Source organism: Homo sapiens, chromosome 3 (assembly GCF_000001405.40).
Source record: "Homo sapiens chromosome 3, GRCh38.p14 Primary Assembly".
NCBI classification, from domain to species: Eukaryota; Metazoa; Chordata; class Mammalia; order Primates; family Hominidae; genus Homo; species Homo sapiens.
In genome coordinates, this window is record NC_000003.12 from 40,086,842 (window position 1) to 40,105,848 (window position 19,007).

Below are 19,007 nucleotides of genomic sequence, written 5' to 3' on the forward strand. Positions count from 1 at the left end.
AGCCATGGCCCCCCACATTCCAGCAGGTAGTACATAGCAGCAAGCGGTTCTCGGGGTGGGCACTGCGGCTGCTTGGCATTCAGAGCTCTGGGGTAGGAACAAGGGAAGCCAGCGCCATGCCCTATGACCAGGACAATGCTGGGGGTGATTGGGGAATTCATAATATGCCAGAAGGCATTATCAGTTAGCTCCTCTCATGCCACTGCTACGTGGGCGAACATATTACCACAGCAACTGTTGCTGGACATGAACAAAGATATGATTGTACCCTTGGAGAGAGGTCCCAAGAAGAAGTGAGGCAAGCAACCCAGTGTGGCTATCATGAGGAAGTGGTGTGGCTGAGTTAGTGTGGATTCTGACACCAGCCCCATCTGCCCTTGGACAAAGCTCCAAAACCACACTTTCTCCTCAGTCAGATGAGTGTAACAGTCCCAGCCTCACAGTGCTGTGGATGAAATTCAGTGAGAGGCACATGCAAGGGGCTCAGCCCTGCCCCTGGCCAGGAGTAAGCACTGATACATGTTACCTATTATTATTGCTGCTGTTGTTATTGTTATCACTGGGAAGTGAGATGGCTAAGTAGATCAACAGAACAAAGAATACAAACTGAAATGTCTGCTTCAAGAAGGGAGTGTGTTATGAGAGACCAGGCTTTAGTTCTATTACAGAGGGCATTTATCTAGTGTGAATGTAATAGGTTAAGAAGCCAAAGCAAGAGGGCTAGTCTGTGATCAGTGGCATGGTAGCCAATGTTTAACTAGTTCTCCAGGGGAAAAGAAAGCTTTGATTTGTAGTGTTTGCCGATTTCCACTATGTAAATACTACTACCTTGTACATTGTTAAGCTGCCAACATGTCATCACTGAATACAGAGCTGGGAAAAAATGCACACAGAGAGCTCTCTGGATCCAGAACGAGTCTGCTTCAGCATACCACTGACTGGGTGGAGTGGGGTGGAGTAGGGTGTTTCCAAGAAACAACAGGAAGATTCAGATTGAAGACTGCACTAGGGATTATCACTTTTTCTGTGACCAGCTGGCAGGTAGGGGTGCCACTGCTGGGGCACAAAGATGCCTGTGCCTCACTACACCATTGTCTTGTGTTTGTAAGTGGGGACAGACAGGAGACCCTATGCTATAAAAAGGAGAGGGAGCAAGACCCAGTCACCAGGAAGGAGGCTGGCAGAAGTGCCAGGCTCTGTGCAGAAAAAGGTGGGCAGCCATGAAGAACAAGACCCAGGCCAAGGGCTGGTTGACCTGGGAGCCAATAAGCAGTGATGCTGTGGGAAGACAGCAGGGGTCCCCAAGGCTTTTGGCACCTGCTTTGATTGGCAGCAAGTAGGGGTAGGAGGGGAGGGGGGACAGATGTTGGAACTCATCAGTCTTTACTAGTCTCCAAACCTCAGAATTTTTTTCTCAGTTGTTCAGATGGTTGTGGTTCTTGGGAACCTGCACTCCTTATTTTAGTCAGAACTGGCTCAGAACCTAGAGCAGGACTGGAGCTAAGAACATAAGCTGAAGGATCAGTCAATACAACTATGAGGGACAGAGTTGTGGATCTCTCCATTACTGGGAAACCAGGAATTGTTACCCTAATATATCCTGAATGTTAATCAGCTTTTATTCATTCATCCAGCTGATATTGGCCCAGTGCCTGCTCTGTGCCAGGTACCATGCTTGAGTTAAAGACACAGACCTGAATAGATGAGGTTCCTACCCTTCAGGACCTCAGAGTCTAGTATGGGAGACAGAAAACCATCAGCCCCAACCCTACAGAGCTAGTGCTGGTGCTGGGAGGTCACCCAGCAGGCAGTGCAGAGGCCCTTAGGTATGTGAGCCAGGAAACCAGAGCCCATCTCTGTGGCTGGAGCCTGTGGCTGGGAAGAAGTGCAGGGCCCAGCCCCCAGAGGGCTTTCTCAGCCCTGGTAGGGAGTAGGATTATCTTGAGAACAGAGGACAGCCATTAGGTATTTTTGGCAGAGGCTGGCATGCTCAGATTCATGTTTTTAAGACAATGGCTCTGGCTGCTGGCTGGAGGCAGGAAGTCAGGAAGGAGGCCACTGTAGTGATCCATGGCAGGGGATGAGGACTTGGCCTTGGTGGTAACCAGAGGAATGGTAAGACACAGAGAGAGAGAGATCTAGGCATGCAGAGGGTGTGGGGGAGGGAGGAGTCAGGAGTGATTGCAGCTTGGGCACCTGCGTAGATGCTGGTGTCATTCCCAGGGAGGCGGCCCCAGAAAGTAGCAGCTTACAGGGCGGATGATGCATGGATGTGAGGGCCTGGGATCCCTCTGGTGTACAGCACACCTAGGACTCCAGTTTTACTGCTATATGACAGGAGACACTAGGTGACAGGAGAAAGGGTTGGATGGGGAAAGTAGGTATCTGACTGCCAACTTAATCCAAAACTGGACTCTTAGTTATTAAGAAGTATTCAGTCTTTCCTTACTAAGCACTTAAGTTTAAGAAGCATTTTTGCTTGCATTGTGTTATTTTAAACTTTCAACTATCCATGAGGTGTGTGGAGCCATTATTTCAATTTTGTACCTGAAGAAATTGATGCATACAGAGGCTGTTAGAACATCATCCTTTTTCATTTACAACCCTTGAAGCCATCTTTAAGCTTGGCGGCTTTCCATGCAGGTTCTTCCAGGCATGAGACTGGAGAGTAGTAACATAGCAGTGGAACTGGAGTCCTAGATAGGCTGTGCCTAAATGCTAGAAGTGTTTATTGGATTTGACTGAGACTCAAAAAAATTAACTCAAGTAATAGCCAAAAACAAACAAAGGCAAAAAGGAGACATGAGACTTTCTAGAATGGTTTTCTGAGGTTTACAGAAATATTATCATAAAGCTTTTATATGTTTGTTCCAAGGGAAGGGCCTCTCTCTGTTGGATGTTGCTGGCTTATTATATTTTAATGGCCTTGGCAATGGATCGTTCATGCAGAATTGCATTTGCTTCCTTAAAAACCATTTTCTATAGATTTCTATTTTCTTCTCCAAAATTACGTAGAGGGTCTTTAGGCCAAGGTAAATGTGGATAATGCAAAAGCCTGTGAGTCTGTTTCAGTGGGAAAAGGTCAAGCAAAGTCACACCCTACACTGCATATACCTCTACTAATAATATAAAAGTGCTTCTCTCAATTCTTTTATTTATGACCTTGGGAAAGTCTCTCTTATGAGTTATTGTATCTAGTGTGGTGTTACTGGATGCTGAAAAACACTTCATGAATACTTCTTGCATTCAAAATTTCATCAAGAATAATCAACATGTTCAGTTTTATTTCTGTTCATTTTTTCTTGCATGGTGAGCTTTGAGACCTTGTACAAAATCCCTGATCTTTCTGGGCCTCATCTGTGAAGATTATGATGATCACGGAGCCCTGTGACACATTCCTCAGAGATCCAGGTGCTGGCTGGTGAGGAGCTGGACAGGTGCTCTGTGCTGAAATTCACCAAAGTTGTGAAGGGTATGATTGTGTTCAGGCATTCCATGCCCTTGGAATTGGAGAGCATTAGGACTCCCTAAGACAGTTGGGGAAAAGAGGAAAGGAAGGGGCAGTGGGGGAGTTTGTCTTTGCATATGACAAGTGACCATCTGGTGTGGGGTGTGAGGCTCAAGTCCTTGAAAAAACCCTCGTTCCTTGTTGGCCAGCTAGATTTTTACCTATCATCATTTCTGCTGAAGGATGGCTACTAGCCTCTAAGAGCAAGTCAGCTGGAAGCATTACAGCATAGGGTTCAGTTTTAAGAAAGGAAACCCTAACTCAGATGAACAGCTTCATTCACTTTTAACTGATTGTCTAACAAACCTCCTGGCTTATGCGTTTCTCTGTCCAGGGCTATTTCAGAATATCTTTCAGAAATAAAAGGGTAGTAAATGCTGACATTTTATGCGGCATGTGTTTCTGTGCCTTCCTTTCCTCAACAGTAGTGTCCTACTTCTACTTGGTGTATGTTTCCTGAATGGGTATCGAGGACATACAGTGTTGAGTTGTACTGTAGTTTGGTGGGCTGTGGAACCTTAAGTAGGCTGTCTCCTCCAACATGCAGGTGGAACAGAGGGGGATCTTCAAGAAGCAGAGGATGCCGTTTCTTTCTTTCAGTCATGGTTTCTTGGGTGTGGACTTCAGGAGGTCCATATGTGTGCTTCCAGGCAAGCGAGCACATGTGGCACCTACCATAGGAAGACAGCAGCCCTCAGCAGGAAGCAGCCCTCTGCGCATCAAAGAGCTGAGCCAGCCTAAGGCCCCTTCTGTGTTCACCACTCCTTTGTGGCTCTGGAGCCTTCATTTGAGCCTTGATCAGGCCCACTCACCTGTTCTGCTGGGATTATCCCCAGCTGAGCCACTGAAGGGGTCAACTATTAACTGAGAGGGTAGAGTAGAAGAGGGTCTGGCTATGAGAGTGAGACCCACATTTTGGGTTTCCTGGCCAGATGCTTCACCTTAGTAAAACCTTTCCTTCTAGTACTAGCCACTGACCTGTTATGCTGGGATTATCCCCAGCTGAGCCACTGAAGGGGTCAACTATTAACTGAGAGGGTAGAGTAGAAGAGGGTCTGGCTATGAGGGTGAGACCAACATTTTGGGTTTCCTGGCCAGATGCTTCACCTTAGTAAAACCTTTCCTTCTAGTACTAGCCACTTTTTTAAAATTAAAGAATATGGATTTCTCTAGTAAATAGTAAATTTAATGGTCATGTGGCAAATCACAAACACCCCAGACCTCTTCCTGTTGTCTAATTGAAATACTAAGCACACACTTTTGCAGACACTTGCTGAGTATATTCTTAGCTGACTTGTGTTGTATCTGAAATACTAGACAGGAATGGTTTAATGAGTATTCCCATCATGGCAACAGGGCATTTTGCTTGTCACTTCTAATTCTCACATCTAATAATGCATTTGATCTACAAATTAGACTGCAGGATTCTTGTCCAAGCAGCATCAGGGGCCGGGTGGGTTGAGGGAGAATTCAAACAAGATAAATGCTCTTTCTCAATTATCTCTTCCTCTTCCCAGAACCTCCCAGAAGGAGCATTTCTGTACTAAAATTGCCCAAAGAAGTCTTCATTTTCTACTCCCTGGTAATGGTGCCAAGTATTGAATTTGCATGGAAAGAGATGATATTGCAAAGAGACACATTAGAATACATTTCACAAGCTATAAATTGCTTGTCAGAAGCTCTGTAAGCCTTGAAATGGACTCTGTCCTGAAATGTCTCTTGTGCAGTGTGTGTTTACCTTCTTTTTCCCCAACCTGCCAGTCTGTGCTCATTCTGAAGACACAGAGCCCCTCACACTGGATGACTGTGAAAGGAGGTACATCTGGAGCTCCAAGTCAGCCCTTGAGCTTTTGAAGCTGCCACTAAATCTTGATTCAGAGACCCTGCCTAGAGTTTTTGCTGCTTGTTCATCATCAGCACCCTAAAGCCCCCAAGATGTCTTCCTGGCTGTTTTGCATGCTTCCTGGGCTCCCTCCCTTTTCCCTGATGACAGCAATTGCCAGGAAGGGCTGGGAAAGATACTCACCCACACTGTAAGGGATAGCTATGCCTCCCCAAAACCCTCTCCCAGGTGAACTTTGTCTTCACCAGGCAAGTTCTTAAGCTGATGGAGGGGCATTCAGGAAAAATCCAGGGCTTTACTCTGGGAAGCTTTTGGCAGTGCTTGGGACCGTCTAGGATCCCTCTTTTAACATGTGGCTCAGGTTGGTCACCCAGAACCCTGTGAAGGGAAGGTGAAGGTTCTTAAAGTCATGGTACATTTCCTGGGTGCTAAGTATGTCATATACATTAGTTCAACAAATCCCCAGAAAGTCAACAAAGTAGGTATTGGCCCTTATTTACATAGTAGGAGATGAGATGAGAGAAGTTCATTAGCTGCTCCAAGTCACCCAGCAAATAAGGCACTGAGCTTGGATTTGAAACAGTTTATTTGGCTCTGAAATCCAAAATATTTCCACCATCTCATTCAGATTACCTAGGAACTTGAGGTTACCACCACCAGCTTCTAGAAGCTAGTCTGTCTTCTGTGTTCCCGTCGCAGGAGTTTAGTCTGCTAGTGGGCTTCATGTTCCAGGAGGTCCAAGTCCTTTGGTACATCACAGATTTGTACTTAGTAGTGACTCCCTCCCAGAATCTCCCAGGGAGCTGAAGCCTAGGCCTGGTACCTCTGGCCCTGTTGTGCTGAACCCCTCCCTGTTAACCTCAAGGAAGCACCAGGTTCAAGAGGCCAAAGAAGAGACCCACAGCCAGCAAACAAGCATAGGGTTTTATTAGGGGACTTACATACAGAAGAGAGAGCCCAGTAGTGATGGGCTAGACAGGAGAACCAACTTATGTACAGAAGCAGTTCAGTGTCATCGGGCTAGACAAGATATCCACCTTATGTACAGTCCAGTGACCCAGTGGCTGCAGGCTTTTTGCAGAAAAACCACAACTTCATGCAAACAGCGTGAAATTTATATAGCATTTTTACTTAACACTCTCCCCTTAATAACCACCACCTGGCAATCTTCCTTCAACCCAAAACCCAAGACCTCAATCCTCTCTATGGCCTGTGTTCCACAGGACCGAACAGGGGCTCAGATGTTCCTCATAGACAAGGAATGCATCTCCAGGATGATCATGCCCAGATTCTCTAGTTGGAACATACATTCAGTTCCAACTATGCAGACCAGCTATGCAGGGTCATTCTAAGGGTATGCTTAAGTTATTGCTATCAGGTATGTTTACCCCGTGAGGGGATCCTGGGACCAAGTCTACCATTCCCAGCTAGCAGCTCCTGCTCTCACACTGGGATAGCAGTGCACTTTACCTGGGCTCATTCTTGTCTCAACATTTTTCAAACAGAAGTGAGAGGCACCAAGCTGGTCATAGTTTACTTCTCTCCCAGTGTCTGTTCTCAGACTAGCTACACCACCATTGCAATTGGATGCAAAACCAGCAATAGCAATTTGCTTTAAACTCCTAACTATCCAGAGGCAATCATCTATGCTTTCCTCTGCTCTTAAGATAAAGACAGAACTCCATAACATCCAATGAAGGCCTGCAGGGTTGGCCCACCAGCTTTTCCACCTGTATATTTCCCCTCACCCCTCTCTCTTCATAATGGGGGACACTCTGTCTTTCCTACTTTCCTGTTACCTCCTACCACAAGGCCTTTGCACGTGCTATTTCCTCTGCCTGGAAAGTTTCCCCTTCCCTCCCCCTTCACATGTCCCAATTTTATTCTGCTGTTCAGACCTCCCCTCCATGCCACAACTCCATCATCACAGACTGCTATCCAGTGAGTTTATGTCCATCTGGTGATGTTTACCCCACTGGATTTAGCTCCCTCTGTTTCTGCTCATCTTGTTTTCCACAGTTTGTGGTACATGATAGGTGCTCAAGAAATAAGTCTTAATAGCTGATTATTTAATTTTTATCACAACCCTATGAAACAAGACTGTTACCATTTCCCTTTTGCAAGTGAATAAATGGAGACTAAGAGGCTGAGCTGGAACTCAGAGCTTGGTCTGTCTGTCTCTAAAGCTGGTGTTTATTACACCATGGCACCTCCACGCCCTAACTCCTCAGTCTTGCCTTTGGCCTTCCATCTTGGCTTCTGGAGTAATGCTGTCCACCTCCCCTGCTTTGCAGCACAAGGACATCTGTTGCTAGTTTGGATTTTTGTTCAGACATCTGCCTGCCCTAGTGCCCAGGGGTCCCTAAGGGATAGGAATCTCATGTTTAGTCACCTCCTTCTCTGGTACCTGTGGCTATTCCTGCCCAGGACATTGTAGATTCTCAGTAGGTGTTTGGGAATCCCATTCCCCTCTGTTTCAGCCAGGCCTCTATGGATTACCAGTGACAGAAAACTCAACCTCGCTTAAAGAAACAGGAATATATATTAGCTTGTGTAATTGAAGACATTCAAGAGTAGACTGGATTCAGGTATGACTGGATTCAGAGTTCAAACTATACCTTCAGGGCTCAGTTCTTTTGCTGTTGCTTTCTGCTGATGAGCTGCAGTTTCAGACTTCTTACAATAGCAAGATGATGGCTTTGCCAGAGCTCTGGCCCCTCTGTGTCTCAGCCACTCAGCCTCAGAAACCACCTCCCTCCCCAACACTGAACAAAGGTCCTCAGCATGGCTAACACGAGTCTGATGTGAGGTCACTTGTCTCCTCCTCACCTAATTGCTGTGGCTGGGGAGACACCCTGATTCAAGCAAGACCCATTCTTAAAGCTGGGAGTGAGGTCAGCCCCACCCGAGAGCAAGAGTTGGGGGTGAGGGGAGGCAGGGGGACACTTTTACCAGGAAAAGGATTAATGGATGCCAGGCCTTGAAAGCCAGCTTTCCACTACAATCTCCTTTCAAGATTTTTCAAGCTGACCTTATACCTCCTCTGACTCTGACTTCCCATTCCTCAAGTCCCTTCAGGGAAGACTGTCAGGCCTGGGGCTATAAACAGGTCATGGCATCCTTCTTTGAGCAGAGAGGGTGAGTCCGCTTCTAGCTTCTGCCTTCACAGGTTTTGCTGCTCTGAGAACCCCCAGCTAATGTGTGACTGGCACATCCAGCTTAGTGTCATACTTCCAGACACCCAGAGCCCACGAGCCTGGCCCTGAAAAGAGGGGCAGGACCCCAGGAGAGGGTCCTGATCCTCTGCCTTCACACTCTGAGAAGCCAGCTTTGTTTTAAAGGTAGTCATGGGGGGAGAATTTCCCGAAGCCCCTAACGATGCTCTCCAGGGAGCTCAGAGAGGTTTCTGAGAAATGCGTGGGCAGGGGCTGTGTATACTACTCCAGCCTCTACACAGCCACCCCCAATGCAGAGACACCACAGGCAGACATGCAGTCACACACATCTGCACACTCACTAACACTGCCATCTCTCTGCCTCCCTCGATTCTGCCCTTCCTCCCTCTTTCCCTTTCCCTCTTTCCCTCACAGTATGCTGTCACACACATCTTTCCTACATACTCCACAGACCCTCTTCTATCCTCCTCTTTTCTCCCTCTGCCCTCTCCCACTTGTCCTTCCCTCCTTCTCCTTCTCCTACCACCTCAGCACCTTCCCTCTCCCCATCCTTTTTTCTCACACACACACATCCCCATTTCTCTCACATACACATACATGATATACCCAATCTCTCTCACTCTCATGCACACTTCCCCCTCACACTCCATACCATAACACTCCACCATCCCCCCTCCCCCAGACTCCAGCACCCACACCCCCAACCCTGAGCCTTCTGACCATGTCTGTGACTGCTGTCCCTTCAAAGGTTGGCCTTCATAGGTTTTCTCGGGCCATTCTACCTCTAGATATACCCGAGATGGCAGTCAAATCCTAAACCGGTGTTCCATCCTCAAAGAGCAGTCTCACGCTCTCACAGAGTGCCTCAGGTGAGAGGGCTGTAGTCAAAAAAGGGGTGACCTGGGCATGGTCACACAGTCACTGTGACAGCGGTGGGGATGAAACCCGGCTCTCTGGACCTGTAGGGCAGTATTTTCTCATGTCTCTCTTCTCATTTGAAGTGCATCTCACACATCCTGAATCCTCATTGTGTAATAAGGGAGGTGCTGTGAGGATAAAGTCAAATTTAGCATATGGCAAAGGGAGCCTCATAAATCAATGCAGGAACCTGTGTGTACAGGTAATTTTGAGTTCATGAGTTTGACTCCCCGCAACCACAGCAAAATGACCAAAGAAGTAAAAGATCACTTTTAATGGGTCTGTTTCAGCTCTGGATACAGGAATGGCCGTCTCAGGCCAGAATTCCTGCATGATCTCACTAGGAGGACTCTGTGGTGGGATATCTGGACCAGCCCCAGGGGAGCTGCTATGAGAGCAGCCTAAGCAAGTAGGGTCTAGCCTGGCAGATTCCACAGGGCCTGCATCTCAGAGCAGCAGGGCTGAGAGCGTGGATCACAATGTGGCATTGGGCAAAGGCATCGGCATCTTTGAAATAATGAAAACTTTCTTCACCAGGCAAAATAACAACTGTAAGAAAAATCTGGGCACTCTGAGATGTAGCTTGGCAAAGCTTGTGCTGCTTGGCAAAGCCCCTGGTTTACTGTTTGGGTGAAGCAAAACGCTCCGCCCATCGTCCTAACTCCTCACCTTCTGCATCAGCTTGCCTGGCTATCAGCAGCCCTGCCAACAACTCAGTAAAAGGCTCCTCTGTTGCCATGGAGGCTTTTGACTTCTTCAGTGAAGCCTAGACCTTGACTCACTGCCTTTGCAAATAAAACCAACCACGACCAAAAGAAGAAAAGCTTATGGGAATAGGAAACTAATTACTTTTCTGTATAATAGCTAAAATTATTGAGAGCTGACTCCTGTACGGTTCTAAGCACTCACCTACCCTCACAACAACTCTATAAGGCAGATATACTTTACCCATTTTACAAAGGCAGAAACTAAAGAAAGAGAGATCAAGTAACTTGCCTGTGGTCTCACAGAGAGGAAGTCAAAGAGTCAGGATTCATATCCAGGTATGTTGGCTCCAGGGTTGGCATTCTTATCCTCTGACCTATAGTGCCCACAAAAGAGTTCACAAATCTGTGGGCTTTCCAAAGAGTGAGTTCTAAGGTACTCAGTTGAATCTTGGTCAGTGTTTTCAATTTTGGTAGGAAAAAAAAAAGTCCCCTCTCAAAGCAATTTATTCAAGGCTTCTCTTGGGAGATATTTCTGGCTATATACAGATGGAGTAGATCTTTCTATTCAGAGCCGTGAAGTCCACCACGATGGGTAATGTTAAAATAAAAAACACCCCCTCTCCACCTACACGCACGAGATCTTTGGCCAGGCTCCCACCCTGGAGGTGGGGATTGAGAACAAATGTGCACGATTTCCATTCCTGAGGAAGTGTCCCACGGGATGGTACCAGAGCTCAGAGCCTCCTGTGTCTCTGTAGACAGAAGTCTGCAGAGGCATGGAAATGCTGCAGAACCCATTTGGTGGTCTCGTCTGTTCAAACTATTTGGACTCTAGAAGGGGTACTTGTGATCCTCCACTGACAATATGAGCAACAGGGGTGGAAAATGAGCTCAGTGACTTAAAGAGAATGAAGTGTTGCCACAGGAATTCAGCTGGAAGAGTGTTAGAGAGAGCTGGTGTTCCTCATCTGCTCTTCTCTGTCAAAGCAACCCTGGACACTCTGATCTGAGTTTAGTACTGCACTCCCTTTTAAATCAGAGTTATTAGCACTTTCACTATCAAAATGAAAAGTCAGAATGGATTAGCGGGTTGGATGACCTGTATTGGGCCCCATCAGAGACCACTCCATGATTTCAACTTATTTTTCAAGTCAAACAACAACAGCAGCCTTTTTGATATGTATATTTAAGTAGAAGTGCATTAAGTTTGCATTTTATTTGCTAAATATACATTTCTTTCCATTTTTTAAGAAGTAAGGCCATTGATTTTTGCCAGAAAATGAGGCATGCCCCTTTTCAAAGTTTTTATGTATAGCCTGCATATGTGGTATGAACCCATTTGTAATGCAATACATTCCATAAAAGTGTGAGCAGAATTTTGCATGTGTGCATTTGTCTGGAAAAGAGGGACCCTTTGGTAGCAGCTGTGGGTAGTTGGCAGTGGGCAAAAAAAGACTGATTTTTTTCTTCCCTCCTAACACTCTGTTTATCTGCAGATCCTTTTCTATCTAAGTTCTACATAAACAGTGTTGCACTGTAAGCAAAGTGCCCTGGGTCTTCATGAATATTCTGAATCATCCATGCATACTCACAGAGGGAAGCTAGTGCTACCAACCTCTTCACAATAAAGGCATATGCATATTCTTCCTGATCAAATATTCTGTCCCCTTCTCTTTCTCAATTTTTCTGATCAAATATTCTGTCCCCTTCTCTTCTGGATGTGTGTATCTCTCTCTGTCTCTCTCATTGTGTGTGTGTGTGTGTGTGTGTGTGTGTGTGTGTGTGTCTTCTTACAGATCAGAGATAAAATGACCTAAAGAAATATCTGGGATTATTATTGACATTTTACAGTCATTTCCAAAAATGCAAAACAAACAGCTATCTCCAGGCATATATTAAGAGGGTGTGTGGGTGTGCATGTGTGTGCGTGTGTGTGTGTGTGTGTGTACATTTGATTAGGAATTTCAAGTCAAGATCTCTTGTTTGTTTCATTCAGCACCAGAATGTAATTTTATCTGAAAAGTATCTGGTTTTGGATAGAAAACAGGTTGGCCCAGCTGAGAACTGGCATTTGGAAGTGCACTGGACAATTAACCAGCTTTTCCTGTAGAACTTTCTGGTGACCACCCGATTTTGCCCTGCCTATGTAGAAGGGAGGGGGACCCACATCAGAAGAGGATGGGTGTTGCAGGAGGCACATTTCAAGAAAGTGTCTGGATTTACAAAAAAATGTGTTTCTTCTTAGTCTAAGATAGTTTCTTCATAATTTATGTGGTCTGAGAAAAATGCTATGCTTATTAATAATAGTACTTTGCAGATGAGAGGGCACTAATATTTGAGCACTATAATATGCAAAGCATTGTAATTTGGTGGAGTATGAGCATGATGTCTTTAGGTCCTTTCCACAAATTTATGAAACCAGGGTGAAGGTGAGGATGATAGCCATTTGTACAAATAAAGATACTGAGGTTCATAGAAGCAAAATAATTTGCCTGTGGCCACAGGGCTAGGGAGTGGTCACATACTCTCCATCACAGTATATGTTTACACATGCACTGGAGTCAACATGAATGGGGCCAAACATATATATACACACACTCTCGTGCTTTTCTTATACCACAGGGAGTGTACTGATTTGCCCTGCCCAAAAAAGATCCCCTGAGATTTCTCTTCCAATTATTCCCTTCCCTCTGTACAGTCTCTTGCTGCTATTTGAAGCATGTTTGTATTAAGAACATTTAGCTAAAGCAAACCTCATAGTCTGTGACTGACAAGAAAGCACATGATAAAACCATGTCTTTGGCTCTTCCATATCTTGAATTTACAAACCAAGAAAGTGGGAAAAAAAAGTAAAAATTCATGTAACATTTCCCCTACAAAGTTGTATTAAACCGGGCAGCTTTAAATGAGCTTTGGTGCCTCTCTCTCCCTGTTGCACATGTGTTGATGGATTTTTCTCGGCATTGGTTGTCTGAGATTTCACAGCTCTCCGTCACCTCCCTTCTGAAACTGGTAATAGAAACGAGCAGTAGCACTGTGCTGTTCCTTCACTCTGGTATTGCTCTCTACCCAGAGCCCTGTGTCTTTTCTTAAGAAGACTACCTGGCTTATCCTCTGTCTGGGCTTTTCTGGCCATGAGGACATGGAGTGAAGATTTTGGAGCTCTGTGCCCTGTGTCCTGGCGTTTAATTATTTCTCAAGACACGTGAGCTAAATTTGAGTAGAAGAGCTTGGCAGAAAGAAAACCACCAGTTACGGTAATTTTAATAATTAAGCAACATTGACTTGTCCTTTATTTCACAATTTGCTATTATTGATTATGTACTATAATCCTTTATTATACATTGCCTGATTGTTTTCATTGATGTTTTGCAACAGAACTATGTCAATTTTGTCCTATTTTGTACATTTTTTAGCATTTTGCATATGCATATCTGTGCAAACATTAAGAAATAAATCATAAAGGAAGAGCATTTTAAACCATTGGCTCTATTTCAACAATATGGGTGGAAAAAGTATTTCTCCTCTCCTTATTGACTGCTTTACAAAAACAGGTAGAATTTTATTCTTTTATTGATAAAACAGAAACCTGATGTGGTGAGGGTTGTAGCTGTGGCTGCCTTTGCTGCAGATGTGCTATCTCTGAGGCTGGGACTAAACTTCTTAGTTTATTCCAGCAGGGAGTGGGAAAGTCACATGTGAGTTTAAGAACATTGACTTACTCTGGGCTAACCCAACATACATGTTTTTTGAGCAGCAACTGATGAGACCTGAATGTTCTAGGAAATTTCATTGTGTAAGCATGGATTTGACAAAGATGACACAGCATGATACTATATCCATCACCCAGGAGGGACATTAAGAGATTTCTTAGGGTCCTGAAGCTAAAAACGAAGTCCTTGGATCTTTTTCTTATTTATTTAATTTTATTTTAATCCAAGTCATGAATGTATAGACTTTAAAACATCAAATAATTCTCTTGACTTATTGAAAAGAAAAAAAAGCCCCTCACCCCACTCCACCCCATCTGTGCTCCTTACACACCACTTTCAACTTTTAGCTTTCTTTCAGTATTTACTTCCAAATTTCTAAATAATATGCTTACCCTTTTTGTTTTTACAGCTTATATCTTTATTTTCTTCTATGAAAAGGTTTTGTTTTCAACACCTCCAACACTCAACACATACATATCCCCCTTTCCTCCATTCTCCCAGTATATCTGCAATATAGTCTTTGTTACATCAGTTTTCTGTGTTTTATTATTATAATCATAAAAAGCAGCTTTCTGGTGTTGCTGTTGAGTCATTCTGATATTTGATCCTTTCTATGTGGCTTTTTCCCCTCTTTGAAAGTTTCTAGGCTCTTTCCTTTGGTCTCAGTGTTATAAAACTTCACCAATGTCTTTCCTTTGGGTCTTTATTTCTGCCACTGTACTTGAGCTCTTAGAGAACCATTTCATTTTGGATAGCTTTTCCAGGCTTGAGAAACTTTCTTGAATTACATCTTTGATTATTTTCTTTCTTCCATTTTCTTTGTTTCTTCTGAAGTAAAGATATTAGACCTCTCAGATTAATTCTCTAGTTTTCTTTTTTCTTCTTTTTTCCTCTCTTTGTCCTGTTTTCTGGAAAATATCCTCAATTTCATCATCAATCCTATCAAGTGTTTAATTTACACAATAATTTCTTTATTTCTGAGAGTTATTTTTGTTTCTATATTCCCTTTACTATGTAATGCTATTGCTTCATACCTGCAATATATTCTTATTAATCATTTTTGAAGTTTTTTTTCTCCTTCAACTTTCTTTATTGTGTTTGTTTTGGTATTTATCTTTAACGATAGCAACTTTGCTCAAGAATCCCATGACCCAGGACTGGCAGTTTACCTTTAATAGTGATGCACTGAAAGCTGATCTGAGGGTTAGTGGGCCTCAGTAGGGCTTATTGACTGGTTGGCTTCAGCCTAGGATGATCTGGCTGGACTGTTTTATTGGGAGAACTGTCAGTAGGTCTTTTTCTTTAGAGTCGGTCAGTTTCTCAGAAAGGAATGCTCCAGTCTCCTACTGGGGATGTAGGTCTGATAGTTCAGGGGAGCCCAGTGACAGATGGGGGCCAAGGCCAAGCCCAGCACTCACTAATATGTTTCCTGTGGGTGCCCCTGCCCTTGATGTGCCTGGAGCCCTGGTCTCAGAGTCCCTCTATGCTAACCTTTCTAAGGAGTAAACCTCAAGTCTTCTGAGATGAATGAGGGAAGTATCCTGGGTAAGCACAGTATAAAAGGGGACTAGAGGCCTAACTATTTCATCTGCCTGCATTCTCACTTCCAAAGGTAACTGATGGTTGTAATTCCTGAGCCTTGATGGGGCTCTGATATATGAATCAGGCTTCCCACTGCAGCATCAGGATTTAGCTTCTCCAGGGTGTTGAGTCATTTACTTATGCTTCACCTGCTTTCTAGCTTCCCAGATGTTATTACTGTGGCCCCATAGGAGTTTTGACTTTTGTATCTTGTTTGTATTTTAATGAGATTTAGGAGACAGCAGAAGTAAATGTGTGGGTTTAATTTGCCTTATTCAAGTGGAAGCCCAGTCCTTGACTCCTGGTTCCAGTAGTGGCATTTGGGCCAGATGAGGATGTCCCTGGGAAACTGTGGCAACAATGTAAGGTTGTAGAAGTGGTACAAGATGTGATTTCTCTGTAGCAGCCGGGAGTGTCACCTCTGGCATCTCAGAGTTAGGTATGTACACCCTGGAGAAGGATGGTGCTAGGGGAGGCCTGATAGGGGATTCAGCAATGGATTGCAAACTTATTTTGACCCACATTAAGAAGTTCTATTTACTCTCACAATCTAAGAGACAGATACCTACACACTCCTACAAACAAAACTGTACAGAAAAGCAAAAGTTTTACAAGACAGTACTAACCCCTTCTACGGGCCAAGCACTCAGGTATTTCTATTCTATTTAGGTTGTTTGTTTGTTTTCAATGATGGTCTTGACCCACTAATGTGTCACAAGCAGAAGACTGAAAAGCAGTGTCACTTGAGGTGACATCCAGACACCTGCAGTATATCACCACTCTTGCCATCTTCTTGCCCTAAAACTTTCCAGGATTCTCCATCAACCCCTGAACATCACATTCAAGGCCTTCAGCACCTGGCTCCAGCTTGCCTGTCAAATCTCCTCCCACAGTGTGCCCACCTAGTATACATGCTTTTCACAGCAGTGGCTCCTGCATGCTTTCTACCCTCCTCCCTGCATGTACTTCAAGCACACCAAGCCTTTTAAGATAGCATTTTCTCTGCCTAGGCACCCTTGCCCCACTGCCTGCCCCAAGAACTCTCATACATACTCTTAAAGACCCAGATGAAATGGCAGAACGCCTGTGAACTTCATCTAATGTACACACTCAGAATCTTGGGAACCTTGGGGTCTGAAAGGGCATGAATGTTTTTTGTTTGTATTGTGAAGATAAAATCCGGCCACAGAACTGGGCGTGGTGGCTCACGCCTATAATCCCAACACTTTGGGAGGCCAAGGTGGGCAGATCACCTGAGGTCAGGAGCTCGAGACCAGCCTGACCAACATGGACAAACCCTGTCTCTACTAAAAATACAAAAATTAGCCAGGCATGGTGGCATGCACCTGTAATCCCAACTACTTGGGAGGCTGAGACAGGAGAATCGCTTGAACCCAGGAGGCGGAGGTTGCAGTGAGCCGAGATCGTGCCATTGCACTCCAGCCTGGGCAACAAGAGCAAAACTCTGTCTAAAAAAAAGAGAAAAAAAAACTCTGGCTACAGAAGAACAGGTAATAAATTAGGAAAACACCAAGAAGAAAATTTTGATATAAAATAGGGTTATTAAGTGGCAAGAATTATCTAGTAACCTTTCCTACAGAGCAATATTTTTATGTAAAAAAATTTCTAGAATGTTGACAGTATGCCATCAATATGGTAGATACACTTTAAGCTTTATGAAGCAATATCCTATTGTTAAATATATAATTTTGTAACTACTTTTATGACTCACTGTGAAGAACTGCCTTGTGCACATCTTTGCACATAAGTCTAAATACCTGTAAGTACTTTGGATTCTTGATGCATACCACCAAGTCTGTCTCCTGGAAGAACAGATCAGTTCAAACCCCATGTGCAGGAGAGTGCCTGTTGGGCTATATAGTGGCCACTTCTAGGTATTGTCATTTTTTAAATACCATGTCTCTGGTAGTTTTAAATTTTAGTATGATAATATATCTCAATATTTATTTTATGGTTCCTACCTTTAGTGTCATACTTAGAAAAAACTTCCAGAAACCCAAAACATAGATCATTTTTGCTAGAATTTAAAGTCACCCCAAATAATATTCTCCATTTTCTCAGTGAGAAGATGAACAAAAGTAGAATTCTTATGTCCATCTTTGATACCTAAACTTTTAGAGGTATAGATGAAGTAATCGGTGTCTACTTGCAATGTCAATCTACTAATATCGTAACAGGCACACTTCTAAAGTCACTAATTATGTATAGTCATATACTAATTGGGAACTACTGTGATTTTTCTTTTCTCATTTCATGAACCAGTTTTACCCAAACTCTTGTTTTGTATTTTCAGTGTCAACATTCTCTGTCAACATTCTCATCATCATCAGACCCATTCTGAGTCATGTAACACAGTTTTCCTGGCACAGCAGGTGCACTTCCGTCTGAGTTATTTTTAATCTAAACATACATAATTCTGTCACTGAGATTTTTAATCCAAGACACAAAGAGACAGTCTTATAATATTAGCTTCTAAACTTGTCCTGAATGCGTATATTGTTCTTGACAATAAGACAACTTATACTGTGCTTTATTTTTACATTGTTACTTTTACTAAAGATATATTTGCAGTGTTTAAGGAGTCAAGACTTGTTCTAAAAAGCCTTTCAACTTTTTTTCATTTTCTCTTTTTTTCATCCCTCTTCCCTCAGCCCTATCCCACCCCCTAAAACCATTTTTAACTGTTTCACTGATTTTCATGACAACATTTTCCTCTATGTAGGTGCAGGATGTATATCTATGTAGGTTGCCTGTGTTGTTCCTTGTTAATTATTCAGTTTTAGGCATCATCTATTACTTCTCATCATGGAACAGGAGAATTTAGCCTCTTCCACCTCATCCTGCCTCCCTTCCCATTCCCATACCTTTCAGTAAAGCCATATTTCTATTATTATATCTGTATAAATGCTATTATGTCTGTATAAATGCTTCCCAGCTGAGCCATCTCCTAAATTGTGGTTAATATTTTTCTATTTTAAAGTAAAATTTTTAAGTTGTGAAATATGTCCTACATACTGTATTAGTCCATTCTTGCATTGCTATAAAGAAATAGCTGAGACTGGGTAATTTATAAAGAGAAGAGGTTTAATTGGCTCATGGTTCTGCAGGCTGTACAGGAAGCATGGTGGCATCTGTTTCTTGGGAGGCCTTAGGGAGCCTTTACTCATGGTGGAAGGCAAAGCTGGAGCAGGCGTCTCACTGGCAAGAACAGGACTGAGAGAGAGAGGGGAGGTGCCACACACTTGTAAATAACCAGATCTTGTGAGAACTCACTCACTATACAGTACTGTATTAGTCCATTCTCACACTGCTTTAAAGAAATACCCAAGATTGGGTAATTTATAAAGGAAAGAGGTTTAATTGACTCACAGCTCCTCATGGCTGAGGAGACCTCAGGAAACTTATGATCATGGTGGAAGGTGAAGGGGAAGAAAGGACCTTCTTCACATGGCAGCAGAGAGAGAAGAGTGAGGCAGGAAGGGGCAAGAACCCCTTATAAAACCATCAGATTTCATGAGAACTCACTCACTATCACAAGAA

The 19,007-nt window shown here is 43.7% G+C and overlaps 1 protein-coding gene across 7 annotated transcripts in view; it reads left to right on the forward strand.

Moving 5' to 3' along the window:
- The window catches only part of MYRIP (myosin VIIA and Rab interacting protein), a 451,408-nt gene that overhangs the window by 277,928 nt on the left and 154,473 nt on the right, over positions 1-19,007 (forward strand). The window contains exon 1 of one of the 7 annotated variants that reach the window (NM_001284426.2): positions 13,202-13,409. The exons of the other annotated variants lie outside the window; for them this stretch is intronic. The gene's annotated coding sequence lies outside the window, so the exon portion shown is untranslated. Of the gene's footprint in view, positions 1-13,201; positions 13,410-19,007 lie in introns of those variants that run through there. 7 annotated transcript variants of the gene reach the window in all.